Here is a 23,631-nt window from a genome sequence, read left to right on the forward strand (position 1 = left end):
TTCATCCATGTTGTTACAAATGACGGAATTTCCCCAAAGAAGTATTTGGTTGCTGATATGTGCTCATAAAACAGAAGTTAAAGCCCATGTCTTGAGAGAAATAATATTTATCTGTTAGGAGAATAAAATGTAAATGCCAATTTGATTTTTATAATTTAAATTATCATAAACAGACACTTCTCAAAAGAAGACATACATACAGCCAACAAACATATGAAGAAAAAGCTCAATATCACTGATCATTAGAGCAATGCAAATCAAAACCACAATGAAATTGTGGTTCTCACACCAATCAGAATGGCTATTATTAAAAAGCCAAAAAACAACAGATACTGGCAAGGTTGCAGAGAAAAGGTAACAATTATACACTGTTGGTGGAAGTGTAAATTAATTCGATCATTGTGGAAAGCAGTATGGTGATTCCTCAAAGAGCTAAAAGCAGAACTACCATTCGACCCAGCAATCCCATTACTGGGTATATACCCAGAGGAATATAAATCATTCTGCCATAAAGACACATGCAAGGAAATGTTCATTGCAGCGCTGTTCACGACAGCAAAGACGTGGAATCAACCTAAATGCCCATCAGTGACAGACTGGATAAAGAAAATGTGGTACATATGTACCATGGAATACTATGCAGCCATAAAATTGAGATAATATCTTTTGTGGGAGCATGGATGGAGCTGGAGGCTATTATCTTTAGCAAACTAACACAGGAACAGAAAACCAAATATTGCATGTTCTCACTTATAAGCGGGAGCTAAATGATAAGAACTTATGAACACACAGAAGGAAACAGTAGACACTGGGGTCTACTTGAGTGGGGGAGTTGGGAGGAAGGAGAGGAGCAGACAAGGTAACTATTGGGTACTGGGCTTAAAACCTGGGTGATGAAATAATATGTGACACATTTTCCTATGTAACAAACCTTTACGTGCACTCCCAAACCTAAAATAAAAGTAAAAAAACCCAAACTTTTTAGACATAGATAAAAAAGATTGCAATGATCAGTGCAAATAGCAACATTTCTTGGCCTAATAATTAGAGAAAAATGGGTTATTTTGTTTTTCAGGCATAGACAGGTGTAGTGTAGAGTCTATCACTGATGGTGTTATTTATAATGAATGTTATGTTTATGTAATAATTTAAATAATAAACATGTTAGAATAAAGGCCCATTGATACAAAAGGGGGCAGAGTTCAGTGAAATAGGTATTCCCTTTACATTTATATTGTACCTTTTTGTTGTACTTAAAAAAAAATTGTTATTTGAAGCCACTTAATAAGGTATAATCAAAATATATGTGCTTGGTTTGAAGGTTTTTATGAACTTGAGTTTTCCTTGTTTCAGATTTAGTGGAGTTTAACTTGGGTAGTCCCAAGAATGTGGGTCCCTTCCTTGCAGTGGACCAGAAGCACAACATCCTGCTCAAATACCGCTGCCATGGTCCACCCATCCGCTTCACGACTGTCTTTAGCAATGAGCTCCATTATGTGGCGAATGAGCTGAATGGCATTGTGGGAGGGAAGAACACAGTGGTTGCCATAGCTGTATGGTCTCACTTCAGCACCTTCCCTTTGGAAGTGTACATCCGGCGGCTCAGGAACATCCGTCGAGCAGTGGTTCGGCTCCTCGATCGAAGCCCAAAGACCGTGGTGGTCATCCGGACGGCCAACGCCCAAGAGCTGGGACCTGAGGTGAGCCTTTTCAACAGCGACTGGTACAACTTTCAGCTGGACACCATCCTTCGGAGGATGTTCTCAGGGGTTGGAGTATATCTCGTCGATGCCTGGGAGATGACCCTGGCCCATTATCTACCGCACAAGCTGCATCCAGATGAAGTTATTGTGAAGAACCAGCTGGACATGTTCTTGTCCTTTGTGTGCCCCTTGGAAACCTAGCCTGTCTTGGAAGGGACTGGAGGAATCATATTCAATGACCTTCTCAATTGACCTGAGTTACAGAAAGTGGCCCCAGTGAGAGATGACTGCCCTTAATAAGTATAAAATTTCAAAAAGATCTGGACTTAATATGATGACTTATAAGGAGCTTAGAAAATGCAGGTTACATTTATATCTACCTATAGGATTTTATCCAATGTTGACTTAGCCATGGTAGAACTCTTAACTGCATCTACACACTATATTGCTCTTGTAACCAAAGATGCTAATGAGTGTATTTGAATTAGCTTCTCCTAGGAGGGGTGACTACTTTGCTAAAGAGTATGAAAAATGTTTTGATGGAAGGGACAAGTTTGGTTGGTAGTAGAGTGTTTGTAGCTTATCTGGTAAAGGAAATTGAGTGCATCTGCATGCATAGCACAAGTAATCCATCTTCTGGCGGTTAACTAGAGAAAGCTTATAGTCAGAGGCTCTTGTGAATGCACTGAAGACTGCTGTGTCTCAGGAGTTTCTCTTGATGATCTACCTTTTCTGAATTACTTGAAAAGGCCAATGTGCTTGGTTCGAGTTTTTTAGTGAATATTTACAATTTCCTGCTTTTATCTAGAAAAGAAGCAAAAGGGAAATATGAAAGCAGTATATATAAAATCTGTGCTTTGGAATTGATATTTGCATTTGGTGATTGTTTTTTATTTGATTCAGCTAAATTTTATGTGTTGAATACTTACTCTAGAATAACTACTTTTGGAACTGGAAGGGGGAAATCTGTAAATGGAAATTTATTTTTATGTTCTGAAATTTGAGGGTTTAGGAATTGACTTTTGTGTAAAGAATGCTACGATATTATAAAGCTGTGGAAGTTTTTTCCACTAGTTTCAGGTGTTTTTTTTTTTGTTGTTGTTGTTGTTATTTTGAACTACTTACCAAAATTAGAAGTTAAAATCTAATTAGAAATTAATAAGATACTAAAATTCATGACAGTTTTTTGTTTGTTTGTTTGTTTGTTTTTTGGTATTTCTTGATTTGGGCATAAAAGGCACACCCATTCTCTCATGCTTGGAAGAAGCTGCTATTCCTACTGGCTATCTAAGAAGAATGGAATTATTAATTTTATTTGACTTATTAATTTTAAACGAGTTTAATTTGGGATCATTTAGTAAGTACTCTTTTCTTTTTGAGCTGTGATAGATTATAGTCTAGTTTAAGTTGCTCCTAAGTAGACAGATGAAGAAACTAGGGAGGCTTTAGAGAGGAAGACAGATGCTTGAAGTATGAACAATATATACCCTTAGAAGAATGGGTCAAATAATTTGGGTTTTTAATTTAAAATAGGAGGGCCCCAGATCTTACTTTCCTGTCCTTGAGGAACACCTTCAAGTTTTTAAAGTATTTTAGGGGGAAAGAAGATTTTTAATTGTTTCTGAGCCTAATGAGGTAATAAAATATATTAAAATAGTTTAATTTTAATGGTCCTTACGCTTTACAGTACCTAAGGATCACTTGTAGTATCTGACAAAAATGCAGAATTAAAGAGTCATGGCAGGGTGTGGTAGCTCAAGCCTGTAATCCCAGCACTTTGGGAGGCCAGGCAGGAGGATTGCTTGAGGCCAGGAGTTTGAGACCAGCCTGGGCAACATAGTAAGACCTCATCTCTACAAAAAATAAAAAATTATCCAGGTGTGGGCCGACAGTCCCAGCTACTAGGGAGGCTAAGGCAGGGTGATTGATTGAGCCCAGTAGTTTGAGGCTGCAGTGAGTTATGATTGCGCCACTACACTCCCACTTGGGCAACAGACAAGAGATCTTATCTCTAAAAAATTTTTGTTAAATAATAAAAGAATTAAGGCCAGGGATGTTGGCTCACATCTGTAATCCCAGCAGGGATTATAGTCTCGGGAGGCTGAGGTGGGCGGATTGCTTGAGCCCGGAAGGTCAAGACCAGCCTGGGTGCCATGGTGAAACCCCATCTCTACAAAAAAATACAAAAACTAGCTGGGTGTGGTGGCACCACCTGTAGTCCCCGCTACTTAGGAGGCTGAGGTGGGAGGATTGCTTGAGCCCAGGAGGCAGAAGGTTGCAGAGGTTGCAGTGAGCCTTGATTGTGCCACTGTACTCCAGTCTGGGCAACAGGGCAAGACCCTGTCTCTAAAAAAAAAAAAAAAAAAAAAAGAGGGACCATGATGCCTCTGGGATTTATGAAACCAACCTTTGTGGCGAGTGCTCAGTGATTCTGATGCAATGGTGGTATTCCACACTGTGAGAAACACTAAGAGAAGAGGTAAGATAGAATGAGGGAATAAACATGGCTTGTTTATTATTTTGGGGGATTTACCAATAACTGGTTTAATTCTGTTCATGATCCAATAGTATTGGTGATATTAGCTCCATTTTATAGATGAGGAACTCATGTTTAGATCTGAAATAAGGTATGTGAGAGTCCATATCTCTTTTCAGCTAAACTTGTGAGACTTTCGTAAAGAAGCGTTTGTATTTATTTATTTGTTTTTGAGACAGGGTCTTGCTCTTTTGCCCAGGCTGGAGTGCAGTGGCATGATATGGCTCACTGCAGCCTTGACTTCCTGGGCTCAAGGGATCCTTCTGCCTCAGCCTCCTGAGTAGCTGGGACTACAGGTATGTACCACCATGCCCAGCTAATTTTTGTATCTTTTTGTAGAGACTACATTTTGCCATGTTGTCCAGGCTGGTCTTAAACTCCTGAGCTCAAGCATCTGCCCACCTCAGCTTCCCAAAGTGCTGGGATTACAGGTGTGAGCCACTGTGCCCAGCTGAGAGTTTTTCTTGTCGTGAAAGAACTTGACATTTCCTCAAGGATTTATAAAGGAGGCTGAGGAGTAATTTTCCCAGGAGAATTTTAAAAAGAAAGCGGGCATTGCTCCTCCAGTGGTTTGGAATGATGCCACTTGATTGTGCAAATGATTTCTTATGATCTTGTCTGGTTTTCTGTTATTTTTTGATTTGGTGACATAGCTCTCAAAGATTTGGTGACACAGCTTCTTGAGTCACTTTCATCTCTCTTAAAAAAATTTTTTTTTTAACAACTTTTAAGTTCAGGGGTACATGTGCCAGTTTGTTTCATAGGTAAACTTACGTCATGGGGGTTTGTTGTATAGATGATTTCATCACCCAGGTGTTAAGCCTAGTACCCATTAGTAATTTTTCCTGATCCTCTCCCTCCTCCTACCCTCCACCCTCCAATAGACCCCAGTGTGTGTTGTTGCCCTTTATGTGTCCATGTGTTCTCATCATTTAGCTCTCACTTATCAGTGAGAACAACTTTCATCCCACATCTAATTTGTCTTTCTTCACTCTGGTGTGGAAATTTTGATAGAGATTCCAATATCACTTAAACGTTTCCCAGAATATTTAGATAGAATAATTTAGTTTCTTCTGAAAAGTTTATTTTAGGCTAGTGCCACATGGTTGTGAATATTAGCATGGTAGCCAAATAATAGTTTGTTTAAATGTATATTTCCCAATATAAATATAAGGGGCATCATAATTTTTAAAAACTATAAAATCTAGAAGAAAAATCTATGGATAAAATCCATAATTCTATCATCTGAATGCAATGAACATTAGCATTTAGGTATATTTTCTTGCAGGTTTTTTAACCATATACTTATAGAGAATATGTAATTTGGGTCTGTGTTTTTTACATATAAATATTTTTCTATGTTAAATAGTCTTCATAAGTTAATTATAAAGATCTGCTTAATAGTTCTGCTACTGCAGTTTTCATTATTAGATAAGTTGGTCATTATAGTTGGACATTTAGGTTTACAATATTAAAGCAGTGGTTTATATCAATTTCAGTGGTTTAAAATATGAATTTCTATTTTGGAATGAAAGTATTAATTTAATGTAGTGAATCTCATATTCCAGAACTGAGATGATTGATTTGATGCTATTTGTGACAGACAGAACCCATAATAAAGCCTTTCTATGCAAGTTACATTTTATAGAATTATCCTACTAAAAGTAACCTTTCTTCAGCGAATGCAAAACAGACCTTTGGTGTTCCAGTATGATTCATTTTGCCATTCTGAACAACTATCATTTTAATTAAGACCATTTAACTGACACTTCCTGGATTCAGTTATTAAGTTTCAGATTGAAACTTGATCCAGTTTAATAACTGAATCCAGTTTCACATTTATCAATCTGAAAACTTAGTTTGCAGATTGGTAAATCAGGGTACTTGACAAGAATAAATATGGTACGCCTTTATATATTCATGTGTTACATGCCAGAAATGAGTCTGTTTCTGGACCCTGTTCAAGGAAATAGTGATGACTGAGAGAGGTACAGGGAAATAAACACCCAAGGGAAACAACAGAAATAAGCCTCCCCAACTTTCTAAAAAACTGCTCAGCATTATCTCTGTGGATTCTGGGTAAATTCAGCTTTTTAACATCAGCTAGTCACTAATGCCAGAAATTCCACTTCAAGTGTATTTATTTTCTTGTGTTAAGCATTATTCTACCTGGTTTATGTCTACAATGTAGTATTAGTGTACTTAGGATTCTTGACACCTCAGTGTGCAATAAATAAAATTTTGAAGTTGTTGTTTTTCATTTGAAGGTGAGACCACAGCCCCTGAGTGCTAAGGGGACCTGGGAATCCTAGGGGAATGGAGGTGGTGGACGATAAGAGGATGGTTGAGGGCAGGAGTTTAAAGGACACAGAAGCTAGGAGAGCAGAAAATGTACTCCACCACCTTCTGTCTAACTTGTCTCTTAAAAGTGCTTTTACATTTTAACTTTTTAAAAAAATGTGGGCCGGGCATAGTGGCTCATGCCTGTAATCCCAGCACTTTGGGAGGCCGAGGTGGGCGGATCACCTGAGGTCAAGAGTTCAAGACCAGCCTGACCAATATGATGAAACCCCATCTCTACTAAAAATACAAAAATAGCCAGGTGTGGTGGCACATGCCTGTCATCCCAGCTACTCAGGAGGCTGAGGTGGGAGAATCGCTTGAACCCGGGAGGTGGAGGTTGCAGTGAGCCGAGATCATGCCATTGCACTCTAGCCTGGGCAACGAGAGTGAAACTCTGTCTCAATAAATAAATAAATAAATAAAAAATAAAAAAGTGTGAACTTAAATATATTTATATGTGTGTACATATATTTTCTTTTTTAATATTCTGGTTAAATGAGAGGCCATCGGGCCTCTTTTTAAGAGTCTAATGATGTGTATATCTAATGCCCATTCCAGCTGGATTGTAACACTGCTTGGGGAAGATAACTTAAAAAAAAGTAGTACCGAGATTACAGCAGCTAGTGTCCTAAATGGAAAAGAAGTGAAACTAAATGTCATAGGAGAAATCCTTTCAGTTTTGTGCAGTGGTTCATTTGCTGTTAAATCTACCCCATTACCATTCCCCTTACTCCTTGAAAATAAAGTGATCTTCATGTTACAGGACCATTGCTTTATTTATGTCACAGATTTCTTGTCCTTTAATTAGTCAGTGAAGGCACATGATTGCGATACTACTTTTTGATTGCCGTATTGTAAAAGCTATATGGTAAAAGGTAACTCCCTCCACCCGCCCACTGCACCCTCACGTTTAGGGGCCACACAGAAAAAGCGAAATAAGATGAGGTGAATCTAATGAGAAGGCAACTCTAATGCCCATCAGGAGATTCACTAGGACATTTTAAAAGGACGTCTTTAAGGAAAAAGTTTTGTTTGTAGATGTTGCCTCTGATTCCTCCCTGCGGCTCCAGTCCAGGTCTTGGAGCCGGCCCTCGAGGGGAATGTCCGGGACTCGGGTCGGTACCTTTTTGGTCTGGGAATTTCCAGTGTGCAGAAAAAAAATCCACAAATCTAGGCCTCGCTGCCCCCTCCCTGCCTCCTCTGGCCCTCCTCAGTGCCCACGCAACCCGGTTCGAAAGAGAGGATGACCGTATTCTGCATTTTAGAAAACAGGCTCTTAGCTTCCCCCGCCCCCGTCCTCACTAGAGTGGAGAACTGAAAGCGAACGCTATAAAGGGCGCCAGTGAGAGGGGCTGGCCTCCTCTTGCCACGAGGTCAGACGGCGAGTTCTTAGAGAAAAAGGCTGCTTAGCTGCTGCTTATCATGTAACCTCAAAAGGAAACTGATCGTCTTTCTCATGCTGTCACGTACTTGGGTTATTATCGCTGATTACAGCTGGAAACAATTGATTTGCTCTTACGTATTTGTGTGACTTGACTCTTCAAACACAAAGGTATATTTTTATTATCTGATATTTTATTAAAATATCTTAAATGGTAAGATTTTTTTTTTCTTTTTCTTTCCTATTCCCATAGTCAGATTCTTAACTTTGGAGTCACTCTCCTATGTTTGAGTAGCCATACTTGCTTTGGGGCAAAATATTGGGGGATAGTTTTTTGGAGAAAGAAAATCTGGGATGTTTTTGTAGTTTAGTAATAGCAAGAATCATGTCTGTTTGCTTTAAAGGCCCAGGAAGGACTGAGATACTAATGGAGGAGATCGATAGAATGGGTGATGAAGTATCATAAATCTAATGTAACACTATCTTCTGTCAGTGACCTAGAACTATGATATCCCGAGGCAGAAGTCTCCCAGGAGATTTGATGTGTGGGTTTAGAGGAGTACTTTCCCACCAACCGTAGGCATGAAACTATATGGGAAAATATATCAGAGTAAATTGAAATACTTTATAGCATGCCCTCATTCATTCTTACAGCTGTAAAATTAAAATGTATGAATGGCCATTTTATGAATGAGGAAAACCTGAAATTTGATGATTTGGCTGGACCCCCAGATTCATGATAATCTGTATATGTTAAGGGGTTTTGTTTGAATAAAAGCACATTTCTAAATAGAATGGATTAGAGATTCTCTTCATTGGGATTAGTGAATTCGCTGCAGTGGCTGAAGGTGCTGTCCCAAAGAGGATGACAGTTACGTAAATTTTAAGCATTTGGTAATATATATTTCCTCTATTTAAATCTGACATCTAAAGAAATATCTGGCTGGGTGGAATATTTTTTTGCTTCTGTTAGACAGTAGGTTGTTTAGACAATAAAAGGAGAGAAAAGTTTATCCTAGTCTCATTCACCACCCCGCATAATCCCTGATGGAGCAGGGCATCAGCCACACAGATCATCTAAACAGGCAGATAACCCTGCCTGTTTATTTATTTGGCCTCAGAATACGGTGTATGGTCCACCACCCCTCTCCACCGTCTTTCTAACATCATCCTGCTGAGGCCAAAGACACAGTTGGGCAGGGTACAGGCGTGGAGCACTGCGGTGGCAGAGTCAGTCTGAGAGGAGTTAGCACATGACATCAGTGCACAGTGCAGATGACGGAAACATTTGGCAGCATCCTCTCCAGTGTGGAGGTGATGACCGAGGTCAGCATAATCCAGCTGTTCAGATACAGACTTTTCCTCACTGAGGAAGAGGAGGCAAACCCTTCTCTTTCTTGTCCTGTAACAGACAAGACAAGAAAGCTCTCAGAGAGCAAAACAAACCCTTTCAGAAGCTACAGAGCCATGGAAAGCATTACTGAGGGGAAAGATTTTCTAATTGTTCTGAGACCAATAATGAATTGCTCCTGAAAACACCATTTTCTTTTGGCTCATAGCTGACACTGATCTGGAGGCCTCTTGATTTTTTTCTCCCAGGTTAACAGGAAGATCTCGAGGGCCCTGGCTGAACTTCACCTTTTGGCTTTCTTGGCCTGATGCTGAACTCTCGAGGGTGAGAAGGGCTGATATTTCTAAACAAGTAGCATCCAGGTGTTACCTAGCTTCTGGCTGATGTCAAAAAGGGCAGTGGGATTTTTCTAAGATTTTTCTCTTAAATTAGACATTTTTTTGAAGTTGCTACAAAATTACTATGAATTTTATTTATAGGCATTTTACTGTGATTTCATGAGAACTAAGATTTTTTGTGTGTGTGTGTGTGTGTGTGGTTTAGTAGTATTTTTTTAAACCAATTTGTTGAATTTCTGCTATTTTCCATAGCAAGAGGACATATGAATACATCTAAGAGGGGAATTCAGCTCTCTGCTTACTGACAGTTTCAGGGTTATGTAATCTTTAACAGGCTTGGAGAGCATCATGCCCCCTCTCAGTTTTGGTGAAGAGGCTCCTTAAAACTAGCATATGTGGTTTCTGATTAAAGCACTTTCTGTTCCTTTAATTTGGGATTGTCTGTGAAGTAAAATACCTTCCTTTCAACCGTAGGGAATGAAAATATTTACTGCCGCTGATGGAGTTAGTGGATTGGGAATTAACACTTATTAAACACTTGTTTTGGGAGCTTACCAGCAAGATCTCATTTAGCCCTACAGCATTTTTTAGGTAGCTGTAATTAGCTTTATTTTATTTATTTATTTTTGTAACTTCAACTTTTATTTTAGATTCAGGGGGTGCATGTATAGGTTTGTTACCTGGGTGTATTGCGTGATGTTGAGGTTTGGGGTACAACTGATCCCATCACCCAGGTACTGATCATAGTTATTTTTCAGCCCTTGCTTTCCTCCCTCTCTCCCCCATCTAGCAGTCCTCAGTGTCTTTGTTGCCATCTTTATGTCCTTGAGTATCCAATGTTTAGCTCCCACTTAAAAATGAGAACATGTGGTATTTGGTTTTCTGTTCCTGTGTTAATTCACTTGGGATAATGGCCTCCAGCTGCATCCATGTTGCTGCAAAGGACATGATTCTATTCTTTTTTATGGCTGTGTAGATTTCCACAGTGTATACGTACCACATTTCCTTTATCTAGTCCACTGTTGATGGGCATCTAGGTTGATTCCATGTCTTTGCTATTGTAAGTAAGTGCTGCAGTGAACATACAGGTGCATGTGTCTTTTTGATAGAATGGGAAATATAACCACGACAAATGGTGAATTCTGTCATGGTTATATTAAACAATAATCACAATGCTACATTCTCTATACATGATACCAAATATCTGAATTAAACTTATCAAAATACTGTTAATTACCTAGATGTTATATCTATAAAATGCCAACCTCCAGATATTTGGAGACATTAAAAATGATTTTTTCACTGTTTGTTCAGATATTTAGCAACATGCAGGCACTTTTAATATTGGTAGAAGACTTTTGGATATGTTTTAGCATTGAGTAGTTTATGTGCATCCCCATTCCTCTGATTGTTTCAGTCAAGTTTGCTAGACAGCCTAGTACTGTGAATCTGTAGAGGGTCTAATACTGTAAATCATGCGTTCTTAGAGAGGGTGATATTATCTCCAAGAGGGCAAAAATAGGTTCTTCAGGGAAAAATCTTAGCTATTACAATAGTTTGTGGCCCCCAAAGGGCCATAGTACATAATAGATATACAGTATATCTGTGATATTAAACTTTCATCAGGGGATGATTAGGAAAAAGATGTCTAAAAAGACCCTGTAGTGGGGTCTAATACTGAAAGAAAGGTTGAGACATGTCATTGTAAATGCTCTGGATGTACTTATTCAACTGAGGTCAAAAGATTTTTCTGTGGTTTGTTGTCTTTTTGTGTCTTGCTTTGTGTCTACATCCTCATTTTTCATGGATTTTAAAAGTACTGGTTTCCAGAGGGGGAACAACGTTTTTAGTTTCTTTTCTTTTCTCTTTTCTCCTCCTCCTCCTTTTTCTCCTTCTCCTTCTTCTCCTCCTTCTCCTCTTTTTCTTTTTCCTCTCTCTCTCCTTTCTTTTTTTTTGATACAGAATCTCCCTCTGTCGCCCATGGTTGGAGTGCAGTAGCCCCTTCTTGGCTCACTGCAAACTCCGCCTTCCGAGTTTAAGTGATTCTCATGCCTCAACCTCCTGAGTAGCTGGGACTACAGGCACATGCCACCACGCCCAACTAATTTTTGTATTTTTAGTAGAGTGGAGTTTCACCATGTTTGCCAGGCTAGTCTTGAACTCCTGACCTCAAGTGATCCATCTGCCTCAGCCTCCCAAAGTTTTGCTTTTTTTTTGAGACAGAGTTTTGCTCTCCCACCCAAGCTGGAGTGCAGTGGCATGGTGGCATGATCATAGCTCACTGTGTCCTCTACCTTCTGGGCTCAAGTGATCCTCCTGCCTTAGCCTCATCAGTAGCTGGGACTACTACAGGTGCATGCCAGCATGCCAAGCTTCTTTGTTCTTTTTTGTTTCTTTCTTTCTTTTTTATTTTTTATTGTAGAGATGGGGCTTGCTATGTTACCCAGACTGGTCTCAAACTCCTGGCCTCAAGGGATCTTCCCACCTTGGACCCCAAAGTGCTGGGATACAGGTGTGAGCCACCATGCCTGGCTTCATATTTATTTCAGGAAAGCTTTATTGATTATATCCTTAAATACTTTAAATATATATTTTTAAATTGTGATAAAAGATACATAAAAGTTGCCATCTTATCCATTTTTAAGTGTACAGTTCAGTGCCACTAAGTACTTTTCATATTACAACTTTTGCCACCACCCATTTCTAGAACTTTTTCATCTTCCCTTTGACTGAAACTGCATATCCATTAAACAATAATTCTACATTTCTCCCTCCCCCAAGTCCCTGGCAACCACCCCTCTACTTTTTGTCTCTATGAATTTGATGACTCTACATACCTTATGTAAGTGGAATCATATAATACCTATCTTCTTATGACTGGTTTATTTCATGTAGCGTAATATTTTCAAGGTTCATTCATGTTGTATAAATGTCAGAATTTCCTTCCTTTTTAAGGCCGAATAATATTCCAGCGTGTGTGTAGGTGTGCATACCACACTTTGTTTATCCATTCATCTGTCCATGGACACTTGGATTGTTTCTTTTGGCTATCATGAATAATGCTGCTGTGAACATGGGTGTACAAGTATCTGTTTAAATCCTTGCTTTCTTTACTTTTGGGGATATATCAAGTCATTCTATGTTTAATTGTTTTAGGAACTGCCATACTATTCTACACAGTGGATGCACCATGATGAATTTGTTTTTAATTCATTTTGTGCAGTATTTGGCACAGTGCAGTGAATAAGTGCGTACACCATGAATATGTGATAGAAAATGACACGAAGTTCTGAGTAAATCTGCGCAGTGATTCGGCACCACTATTAAAACACTGTCTCCTATTTATTCACCCTTGCATGTCCACATACTACAGTGCACACACTTATGAAGATGTGCATGGTTGAGAATAACTCCTATGAGAATCATTGAGGTAATGCACTTAGATTCCATGTGGGTCAGATCTTTTTGGAAATTTGGACCGCTGGCAATGCAGTTCCACATCTTAAACCTAGGGAGGCTTGCTGGAGGTTTAAAAGGGCCAGAGCTACAAAGGTGATCCATAGATGTGGGGATTAGGTCTTGTGAATGAAGATGAACTGAGGACACTTTGAAGATAGGAATTGTGTGAGTTCTGATTTTTACCCTTCTCCTCCCCTTCCACACCCATTCCCTCACCTCTGTAGCATAGCACAGGGTGACTTCATAAATTTTGGTTGAACAAATAACCCAGGGTGGAAAAAAAATGAAATGATGATTTATTTTTTAATCATAACAGCTGTGAAAAGTTGTTCTGAAGGCCATAAGAACTTTCTATGTTGTATCTTTGCTATGGGAAAAGGAGGTGCGTTTAATTTGAGGTGGAAGATAAGAGTTTGGAAACTGAAAGTGATCACTGGGCAAGGCTGCCAAATTTACCCTTGGCATTTCTAGTGTCTTGAGAGATGAGCTGTCTGAAAGATGGCAGAGGCTGATATATCATGGACCTTCCCAACCCTGCTCTTCTGTGGTAAGGTTTCGTATCTTGTAAACAGCCAATGAAAACAGTTCTGTGTGTTTACCTCTAGTATTGAACAGTATCCAGCATTTAGATAAGAAAGGGATTGTTAAACCCAACAGTAATGTCAAAATCTAGGGCAGAGTGACAGATTGCAGCCAAATTGAAGCAGGCAGGAGGTGGACTGGGTGGTGATAATAATGTTAAAGGACATGCTTTCTCCACCCCATACCTCACTTAGGTTTGTTGGCTCTCCAAACTTCATGGTTGTTCATTTTTGGGAGCCTCTCTTAAAATGCAAATAACCTTTAAGAAGGGTTACTGTTGATGCCTTGGTGGGAATTAATTTTTAGATTCTTTCTTGAAATTTTACTGGATAAGTAGGGCACAGAGACTGCCCCAATCAGAGTGCAGATAAGGGGTGAGGTAGAGTGGCAGGAGCAGTGCAGGGAACAGAATGTGAAGGTTAAAATCAGACTTGGTACCTCCCCAACTCTCCTTCAGCTGGCTTTCTTGTTTCTGTTCTTTGTGCCACCACTATTATCCTCAAGGCCTTGGAGTTACCTCTGACCCTCATCTCTCTTTTCCCTGCCCTGCCCTGCCCTTCCCTTACCTCCTTCTCTCTCTCTCTCCTTCTCTTTCCTTCCTTCCTTCCTTTCCCTTTTCCTTTCCCTTTCGCTTTCCTTTCCTGTCTCACTCTGTTACCCAGGCTGGAGTGCAGTGGCTCTATCTTGGCTCACTACAATCTCTGCCTCCGGGGTTCAAGCAATTCTCCTGCCTCAGCCTCCAGAGTAGCTGGGACTACAGGCACCCGCCACCACGCCCGGCTAATTTTTGTATTTTTAGAAGAGATGGGGTTTCACTGTGTTGGCCAGGCTGGCCTCGAACTCCTGACCTCAGGTGATCCACCCGCCTCAGCCTCCCAAAGTGCTGGGATCACAGGCGTGAGCCACCACACCCGGCCCCTCCCCTGTCTTTCTGTGTTCAGTCTCTTGCCTATAGATTAAATGTGTGAAATCTCTAAACAGTTCCCCTCTTTCCATGCCCAGGAGCACCACTTCAGTTCAGACCTCCATGACCTGTCACATTGACTGTTGCAGAGTCTTTCCTGATCACTTCCACACAGCTGCCACTGTGATCGTGTTTTTATCTTGTTCGAAACCCCTGAATGGCTCCCCATCACATCTGCTGTCCATTGTTTGCAGGCAGCATCAGGGCCCTGAAGGGTTCCAGACTTGACTCTGTGGTCCTCCTCTTCTCCTATGTTCTCTTCAAGTTGGGCCGATGGTCCAAAGAGGCCAAAATGCTTAACAATGAAGTATTAATTAGAACTTTGAAAAATGAGTAATAATTATAACTACCATCATTGAGTGTATATTATGTGCCAGGAGTTGTGCTAGGCATCTCATGACACTACCACGTTTAACCTACCTACTAGCTGAATGCAGTTAATATACCCATTTTATGGATGAGAAAAGAGTCTTAGAGAAATTAATTAAAGCTGGATGGTTATTAAGTGAATGGAGCTTGGATTTGAACCCAGGTTTGTTTAACTTCAGAACCCCATGCTTTTAATCAAGGGAAGAAGAATATTACAGGCAAGAATTCTAGCTTGGGTAAAAATTTGGAGGCAAGAATTAGTGTGCTATTTTAGAAGATATTCATAAGGACTGCATGCTGAAGAATAGAGATAGAAGTATGATGGGATAATGTTTTAGTTTGCTAGGGCTGCCGTAACACAATACCACAGGCTGCGTGGCTTAAACAACGGAAATCTGTTTCTCACTGTTCTGGGAGATTGGAAGTTCAAGATAAGGTGTTGGCAGGTTTGGTTTCTCCGAGGCCTCTCTCCTGACTTGTACATGGCCGCCTTCTCACTACGTCCTCACATGTGGCGTTTTCTCTGTGCATGGGCATCCCTGGTGTCTCTACCCTCTTATAAAGATACCAGTCAGATTAGATGAGGACTCACCCCGACAGCCCATTTTTAACTTACACTCTTTAAAGGCCCCATCTCCAAACATAGCCACATTCTGCGGTACTGGGGGTTAGGACTTCAACATGTGAATTTTGGGGGGACACCATTCAGTCCATAACAGATAGGTTTGATGTAGCTTGATTTTAGAGGATGTGAAAACCAGGCACAGACATTTAGCTTTGATATGGAAGGTCATAAGGTCCAATTGTGGTTCAGCAGGGGAAAACATGAATATCATTGCTTCCTCAAGCAAACTTCTAGCTACTCTTAAACATAAAGGTAGTTAGAATTAGTAGAGTACTAAGGGGTGAATGGGGACCATTTCGGAGAGGGAACTATTAACACTTTTCTATAGTGGAATGAAAGAGTAGAAACAGTCAAATCTTTAATTCCTCTAGAGGTTTCTGGAAAAATGAAGATAATCCTTTGGTGAGGGTAGAGGGACAGAGTGGGGAATATGGCAAGTTTCATTTTAGACTTGATTATACTCTTGGCAACATGGAATTAGAACTCAGAGAAAAGGTCAGAGCTAGTAATAGGAATCAACTCTAGACAGGTCAGAACTGAACCTGTGGAAGTGGGTAAGATTGCTCAGACTTCAAAAAGGACAAGAGACAAGAATTCTCACATCTGAAACTGCTTTGTTGTCACACTGGTTTGGAGGATAGTAGGGAGGCTCTCCGGGAACTCTCTACGTAAAATAACACCTCTGGCTTTCTTCCTTGACCTTGCTTTGCTTTTCTTAGCACATCATGGCCACCTGGCATTATCTTATATAGCTTTTTGATTATTGTCTGTCTTTCCCAGTAGAATGTAAGCTCTGTAAGGGCATCGATGGCCTTTCTGTTCAGTACTGTATTCGCAGTATCTGGAAGCGTGTCCGGAACATTGTAGGTGGTCAATAAATATTTACTGAGTGAATCCATGAATAGGTGAATTTCTATAATCAATATAATTTAATTTGATAATTAGATTGCTGGATATTTCCCTTTTATCTTTTCTTAAAGTAAAAATTTGTTCTTTAACAAATGTCTTTTAATAAATGAACGTACAGACACATATGTTTGAGAATCTCTAAATATCCAACCTAAAAACTTGGGTTTGTTTCTGTGTTTTCCCTTAACTTGTACTTTCCCCAAACCAAGATCACCTGGTCTCTTCTCTGCTACATCATTTCTTTATGACAAAGTAGTTATGACTCTCTTTAAAAAGCCAGGCATTTCAGCACTCTGGTTACTTTGATCAGATTATCTATTCGTATCTACTTTTATATTTTTTGTAACTTTCATAGGTTATTTGTGGAGTCCTTGGTTTCTGTGAGGTCTCTTTTCCCTGTATTTAAAGATTCCCATCTCATTGTACCGATGTGGGTGCCAGATCATATGAACATAAGAAATCTGTTTACACCATTCTCCATTCTTTTCTCTGGGAGTACTGCCAATTATGGGATGGTGTGATGAAGTCATAAAATACAACCTTAGGTAGGATAGGCATTTAAACCAAGTCCACTCTCTTTCCTTTTTCTAAGGGATCATAATCAAAGGTAAATGTGAATCTACTTGTATTTTATACAGGTGAAGACTCAGTAAATCTAGCTTTTCTTTCTCACTAGTCTGAGTGGTATACCTGGCACTAGAATTATTGTGTTAAGTCATTTAAAGCAGTGACTCTTCAGCAGATGGGGAATTCCTCCTTAAAGGACTATTAAAAAATCATTGAGGAAGTGTTTTCAAGGGCCACACATCCCCTTTTTGAAAATCATAGTGGGTGATTGAGCCACAGCACTTAGCTTGAGCAACAGAGTGAGATCCTGTCTCAAAAAAAAAAAAAAAAAGAAAAGAAAAAAGAAAAAAAAAGAAAAATCATACAGGCCACAGAGCACCTTTCTGATGGGGCATGCCATACCTGTCAGGTGGAAAACACAGGGTTGAGAATCACAGAAGAAAGAATCTGAGAGTTAAACTGAACAGAGAACATGTAAAACGAAAGGGTGTCTTTGTTGGTTTCCATCCTCTCCTCTTTACTGCCGAATTAACTTTTGGTCCCCCAGACCCCTTGTTTACTAGAATTTTATGGACGTTTAACACTGTATGGAATGATGTAGGCTGATGGGAAGAGGACACTCTGCAGGGCAACAGGACAAGTCTATAAAATCCAGAATCAGATTAGGAGATGAAATTCTGAGCATGATTGTTGGAAAACAGAGAAAAAGAGAAGGACATCGACAAGAGAACCTGTTTACTGAACCTATGGCCAGTTTAGTACATCTTTAAGAACTGTTCACTGTAATAGTTGTCTGACTTACAAATTCTACAGTTATGATATTTTTATAATTATGCTCTTTTGTAATCAGTTTGATTGCATACGTGTGAAAGTGCTCTGGGAGAAAAATTCAATATAGATGCAAGGTATGACTAACAGCTTTTGTCCAACCTGTAATCTATCATTTTCCACTCCCTGTAGCCATATGCACACAAATAAGAGGGAGATTTACTCAATGGTCATAATAATTTATGGGAACAGGAATGGAACTAACACTTATTAAGCATCTAGGATGTGTCAAGTACTTGACATACATTGTACATTATCTCATGCCATATTAGAAATTTGATTTAGATACTAGTATCTCAATTTATAGGCAAGTAAACTGAGGCTCAGAGATTAAGAGATTTGCCCAAGGTCACGTAGCTGGTAAATGCTACAGATAGGTATGCAGGCTTCAAAGCCATGACACTGCAGTGCCTCTAAGCACTTTTGCTTAAAGCAAGGGTTGGCAGACTTTTTCTGTAATGGGCCAAATAGTAAAAATTTTAGGTTTTGTGGGCCAAGAGACAAGATGGAGGATATTATGCAGGCACTTATATAAACATTTAAAATGTAATCATTTTAAAATGTAAAAACCATTTTTAGGTGACAGCTGTGCAATAGGTTGGATTTGGCCTGCAGGCCGTAGTTGCCAACTCCTGGCCTAAAGTATCCAGAAAATGTAAGCAAAAGCAATTTTGGGGAGGTAAGGTGATTGTTTGAATAAATAATTGTCATCAACTTTGTATTAAATTTGCATAGTCTTTTAGTAACTGAGAATTCAGTTTTCCTCACTAATTCCAGTATTAAATTATCCCTTCATAAAATTCTTCCTGTTGATAGCTATGCATGTTTGATGTATTTTGTCTGTTAGTATGCATTGTGTTTGGCAAGATTTCATAACTGCATATTTTACCTCGCTCTTTGACCATTCTCCCAGCTGTTACATACATTAGAGATAATGTGTGTATATAAAGTACATAGTATTCCGCATATGGCAGATATTAAATAGTGGTAGCTATTATAAACATTATCAGTGTTCCAAAGTATTATTATATTATGGATCTATAATTTATTATTTTGTTGGTATTAATATATGTTACATATGATATAAGCTGATTTCTCCTCAGATCTTAAATATTTTTATAACTAGTCTTTCTGTGTGGCACACACTACTGTCCTTGTTTACAGAAATTCAATATAAATCCCTAGAGACTTATAAAAACAAACAAAAATTTCTTAAAATCCCCCAAAACAAAAAAACCTCAAGTTTTAAATTCTGAATTAAAAGTTCCAGAATTAAAATTCTTCTTGAAAAAATGTGGCATATAAGGCATTCATGCCTTTAAATAAGACATAAAATTATATTCTTATCCCTCATTCAGTTTGACAAATATGTGTTACCTGTATTAAAAAGGGAAGGGGGAAGAAGATTTTGGATATGAAAGTTTTGCAAAACATAAATTCTAATCAACATGTTTATGAAGCAACTATGTACTGAACATTTACAAGTACTGTACTTCATTTCTAGATTAGTGAGCTCAATTTAAGCTCAATTTAACTCACCTTCCAAATTTAGCCTTTTCTTTGGGGGAAAAGAGGTTTAAGTCAAAATATAAAGGAAAAGTATAATGGTTAGAAGTTTCTTAGCTTTAGGCCTTTGCAGATCCATGTAGGCCAAACCTCATACAAAGGAATGGTGAAGGGTCTTTCGTCAAAAATTTTCTTAATTTCTGTGGATCCTAAAATTCAACTATAAAATATTCAGTTCTTTGGGGTTAATTGCCTTCAAAATTTTTTTTCTCCTTAAAAAGTAAATATTACCAGGAAAAGTAACAGTTATCATTTATTTGTAGTACAATGTAAATTAGCTTATTAGTTTTCTTCCTGAAAACTGAGATCCTTTCCCAGAGCATGTACATTTTTTACAGTAGAAGGGTACAGGGATGGGTAATTTTGAACTATGTATTACTGTCTAGAATCTGCGGATTTGTGTAGGAAAGAGTGTCACAAAGAAGAATGGAGAGGAAAAAAGGAGGGAGAAAGGGGAGTTGGGATTAGAAGATACTTTTTGGTCCTTCACCATTCTGTTTTAAGGCAGTTCAGATTTTAGTGTCCTTTAAAGCAGGCAAGAGTTGACAGTATTCCCACATTCAGTGTTTAGGAGGATGCTTTCATTCATATGTGTGGAAATGAAACTTTTGGAGTTGTCAACAAGTCAGAGAAAGCAGAAGAAGCCATGGAACTTGTAATGCTCTCTGCCTTTTTGGACAAAGCTCACCTACTTCATTTTTACCTCTTGGTGTCTATAGTGGGTAAAGTTCATCATTATAAATAGAAACCAGAAAACACTCTCATGAGCTAAGAACCATTTACAGGGTGAAAGTTAGGAAAGTGCACTTGTTTCATGTGGATGTTTTGTGTGAGTTTTGATTATTACTATTAGAAAGTGTGGTACACAGGTAGCCCTTCAGACTAACACCAAACATCACTCCTTCATATATATGATTTTGTATGAACCATATGCATTTTATAGTATGTGGATATTTTCTGAAATCAAATGGAAGAACTTTTCATTTCTTTAGAAATGAAATGTTAAAGGGGAAGAAAAATTTGTTTTGTTTTCAGTTTAAACACTTGGATTTCTGCTGGGCTAGAAAGATGGGATGCTGCAAAGGTATTTCAGGGTACTGTAGCATTGCTGTGATTCAGGGTCTGTTTATAAGGCATCTGTTTATTGGGATGTTCAACTGTGTGACCTGACTTTGTGCAAGGTGCCTCTCTGGCTGCCCATCAGGGGACAGACCTTGTGTACCTGCTGGAAAGCAGTGGAGTTACTTTACATAGTGGACGACTCACTCACACCTAGTGGGTGCTCAGAAAATATTTGTGAAGAGGACAAAGTGGTATATGGCATCTCCTTTGATGCTTTCATATAAAAGGAAGTTGCAGAGAGATGACTCCGGGGACACTATTAATTTTGTCTTCACACAATCAGTCCATAATATGCAAAGTTGTACATACTATACATACAGTACTTAACGGGGTATCAAGTTTATTCTCTTAGCACTGAGCAGGATGTTCTGAGATGTGCAAACCTTTTGCTAATTCATCTGTATGATGATTAGGTTACTGGTTGGAGAAATTTCCTCAATATGGTATACTGTGCTTTGATATCAGGTGCTAATAATTTGCTGCAAACAGGACCTAGAGAATTACTTTTAAAGACAACCTTTTGATCTTTCCAGATTAAAACATACAAAAGAATAGGTTACACTCTTGTAAGGAAAAAGCTTACAGAACTTACTAACTACAGCTGTCTGTGCCATAGCCTGGTTGGTCAGGTGGCCTATTGGGAAGTATATAAGTGCCAGTAGAACTGAGTTCATATGTCTCAGAAGTAGTAATTGTTTCTATTACATGGATACCATATGGACCAGAATGTTCATACAGCCAGGTATAAGCTCCACAAAGACAGAGATTAGTGTTTGTCTGAGGTACCGCTGTGCCCCAGTACTTAGAAAAGTACCTGACATTTATAAAGCACTACCATATTGAAGAATAACTAGAATTTGAAAATATGTGGTCTGATTTACTCATCTGCATTAGAAAAATCTGTTAGAATACCCTGAAGTTTAAATGTTTCTTGAGATGTTGAAGTATGTTTTACATTGCTATGGGGATAATAAATTATTATTTTTAAGGAAAAGCATTCAACAAATCAACATATAAGATGATATCTGTTTTGAAAGCTCCTGAAAGATTTTATGTTCTTTACAAAGAATTCTGGGCAAAAGGCAGCTGGGTTTTTATATTTACAAGATAGATGAAAATAGTTTTATAATAATCCAAGTGCAGAGAATGAGGAGATTCTAATTCAAGGGGCCAAAGTATTTGTTTTGATGTCTGTACGGTATTGACATAAAATAATTTTGGAAGCATTTCCACTTGTTTCTACCATCCAGTTAAATATGTACCAAGTAACTACCTACTAAGTAACAGGTACTTGGCTATTGACAAGGGATACATGTCTTGGGAGCTTATAGTGGAATAGAGGAGACAGACTCATAAATGGTTAATTTTAGCACATCCTAAGAGCTATGATAGAAGTCTGTGTGGGGACTGAGAGGAAAGGCCCTTAGTCCAGAAGTGGGGTTGAGAGTTGGGGTCAGGGGAGGAAGGGAGGGTCAGGAAAGGCTCCAGAAGTGTTGGATATTAAGTGAGTCTTGAGTGAGTGTTGGGTATTAAGTGAGCATGAGATTTTGGTTGAGGAAGAGGAGAGAAGAACAGCAAGAGCAAAGTCTCAGAGCTGTGGGAAACTATACTCAGTTTCGTGTTACTGAAGGTAATGAGGAAGATGAAGCTTGTGAGGAAGGCAGGACTTGGACATCTGTCATTCTAAGAAGACTGGACTCCATGCTAAAAGCAGTAGAGAGCCACTGAAGGATTTTTAAATAGTGTAGAGCAAGCTTGTCCAACCTGTGGCCCATGGGCTGCATGTGGCCCAGGATGGCTTTGAATGTGGCCCAACACAAATTCATAAACTCTCTTAAAACATTATGAGATTCTTTTGTGATGTTTTTTCTTTTTCTTTTTTCATTTTCTTTTCTTTTCTTTTTTTTTTTTTTTTAGCTCTTCAGCTGCCATTAGTGTTAGTGTATTTTATGTGTGGCCCAAGACAATTCTTCTTCCAGTGTGGCCCAGGGAAGCCAAAAGATTGAACACCCCTGGTGTGGAGGAATTCTTAGAAGAATTCCTGGCATTCCAGCATTCCATTGGTATGCCGATGGCAGTCTGGAGGATGGGTTTTAAGTGGGCAAGGCTGGATGGGTGATCATTTGCATCAAGTAAGAGATAAAGGCCTGTCTTGGATAGTGGAAATTAGAGATGGAGAAGAGAGGAGGGTTTCAGAACCAGGTGTTCAACAATTATGAGTCCAATCTGGAACTTTTGAGTTGACTGATAGGACATTGCCTACATTCGATCCCTAAAAATTATTTAAATCTGTACTTACTAATTTATTTTTAAAAACTGTATTTTCTAAAAAAAAAAAAAAAAAAAAAAAAAAAACTTCATGCAAACAGTATTGTTTCACATCTTTGCAAATTTCTTAACATCCGGTTTTACAGAAGACAGATTTTCATATTTGCTTCTGCATTTAATTTGTTGCAGTTGACCAGGTGCAGGGGTTTACGCCTGTAATCCTAGTGACTTGGGAGGCTGAGGTGGGAGGATCACTTGAAGCCAGGAGTTCCAGACAAGCCTAGGCAACACAGCCAGACCCCATCTCTACAAAACATGAAAAATAAAAAAAATTAGCCAGGCCTGGTGGGGCATGCCTGTAGTCCTAGCTACTGGGGAGACTGAGGTGGGAGGAGAGACTGAGCCCAGGAGTTAGAGGTTACAATGAGCTATAATCATGCCATTGCACTCCAGCCTGAGTGACAGAGTGAAACCCTGTCTCTTAAAAAAGAAACATGTGTCACAATATCTTATGTTGGTGAAAGTATAAAGAAAATCTGGTCTCATACACAAATGTAGTTGGTAAAGGAAGAAATAGCTTAATAGTCTTTTCAGGTAATTTGGATATTCTAATTTAATATTATACCAAAACAAGTGGTAGTTCCTTAAAGGAGAGATGCAAGATGGAACCTGAAACCATATCAATGAACTTTTTATCTTCTGATGCATTAAAATCCATTG

At 38.9% G+C, this 23,631-nt stretch overlaps 2 protein-coding genes across 13 annotated transcripts in view, besides 6 other annotated features; both read left to right on the forward strand.

Moving 5' to 3' along the window:
* Positions 1-8,181, forward strand: part of NXPE3 (neurexophilin and PC-esterase domain family member 3) — a 49,021-nt gene extending 40,840 nt beyond the window's left edge. For all 12 annotated transcript variants that reach the window (NR_145993.2, NM_001348992.2, NM_001348994.2 and 9 more), the window contains one exon: positions 1,354-8,181. Coding sequence is in view for 11 of the 12 variants with exons in the window: in NM_001348992.2 (NP_001335921.1) it covers positions 1,354-1,904 (551 nt within the window). In the remaining variant the exon portion in view is untranslated. The remainder of the gene's footprint in view (positions 1-1,353) is intronic.
* Positions 6,768-6,847: a silencer, noted in NCBI's record as "silent region_14578". NCBI's record gives its function as "represses an Ori minimal core promoter by ATAC-STARR-seq in GM12878 lymphoblastoid cells {active_cell/tissue: GM12878}" and the evidence as "EXISTENCE:reporter gene assay evidence [ECO:0000049][PMID:35858748]".
* Positions 7,615-7,664: an enhancer, noted in NCBI's record as "active region_20181". NCBI's record gives its function as "activates an Ori minimal core promoter by ATAC-STARR-seq in GM12878 lymphoblastoid cells {active_cell/tissue: GM12878}" and the evidence as "EXISTENCE:reporter gene assay evidence [ECO:0000049][PMID:35858748]".
* Positions 7,815-7,994: an enhancer, noted in NCBI's record as "active region_20182". NCBI's record gives its function as "activates an Ori minimal core promoter by ATAC-STARR-seq in GM12878 lymphoblastoid cells {active_cell/tissue: GM12878}" and the evidence as "EXISTENCE:reporter gene assay evidence [ECO:0000049][PMID:35858748]".
* Positions 7,940-23,631, forward strand: part of NFKBIZ (NFKB inhibitor zeta) — a 33,033-nt gene continuing 17,341 nt past the window's right edge. Inside the window, exons 1-2 of the mRNA NM_001005474.3 lie at positions 7,940-8,134; positions 9,563-9,638. The gene's annotated coding sequence lies outside the window, so the exon portion shown is untranslated. The remainder of the gene's footprint in view (positions 8,135-9,562; positions 9,639-23,631) is intronic.
* Positions 9,437-9,496: an enhancer, noted in NCBI's record as "active region_20183". NCBI's record gives its function as "activates an Ori minimal core promoter by ATAC-STARR-seq in GM12878 lymphoblastoid cells {active_cell/tissue: GM12878}" and the evidence as "EXISTENCE:reporter gene assay evidence [ECO:0000049][PMID:35858748]".
* Positions 17,427-17,476: an enhancer, noted in NCBI's record as "active region_20184". NCBI's record gives its function as "activates an Ori minimal core promoter by ATAC-STARR-seq in GM12878 lymphoblastoid cells {active_cell/tissue: GM12878}" and the evidence as "EXISTENCE:reporter gene assay evidence [ECO:0000049][PMID:35858748]".
* Positions 22,575-22,869: a silencer, noted in NCBI's record as "tiled region #1067; K562 Repressive non-DNase unmatched - State 24:Quies". NCBI's record gives its function as "represses a minimal TATA promoter and a strong SV40 promoter by Sharpr-MPRA in K562 cells {active_cell/tissue: K562}" and the evidence as "EXISTENCE:reporter gene assay evidence [ECO:0000049][PMID:27701403]".

The sequence above is a fragment of the Homo sapiens genome, chromosome 3 (genome assembly GCF_000001405.40).
Source record: "Homo sapiens chromosome 3, GRCh38.p14 Primary Assembly".
Taxonomy (NCBI): domain Eukaryota; kingdom Metazoa; phylum Chordata; class Mammalia; order Primates; family Hominidae; genus Homo; species Homo sapiens.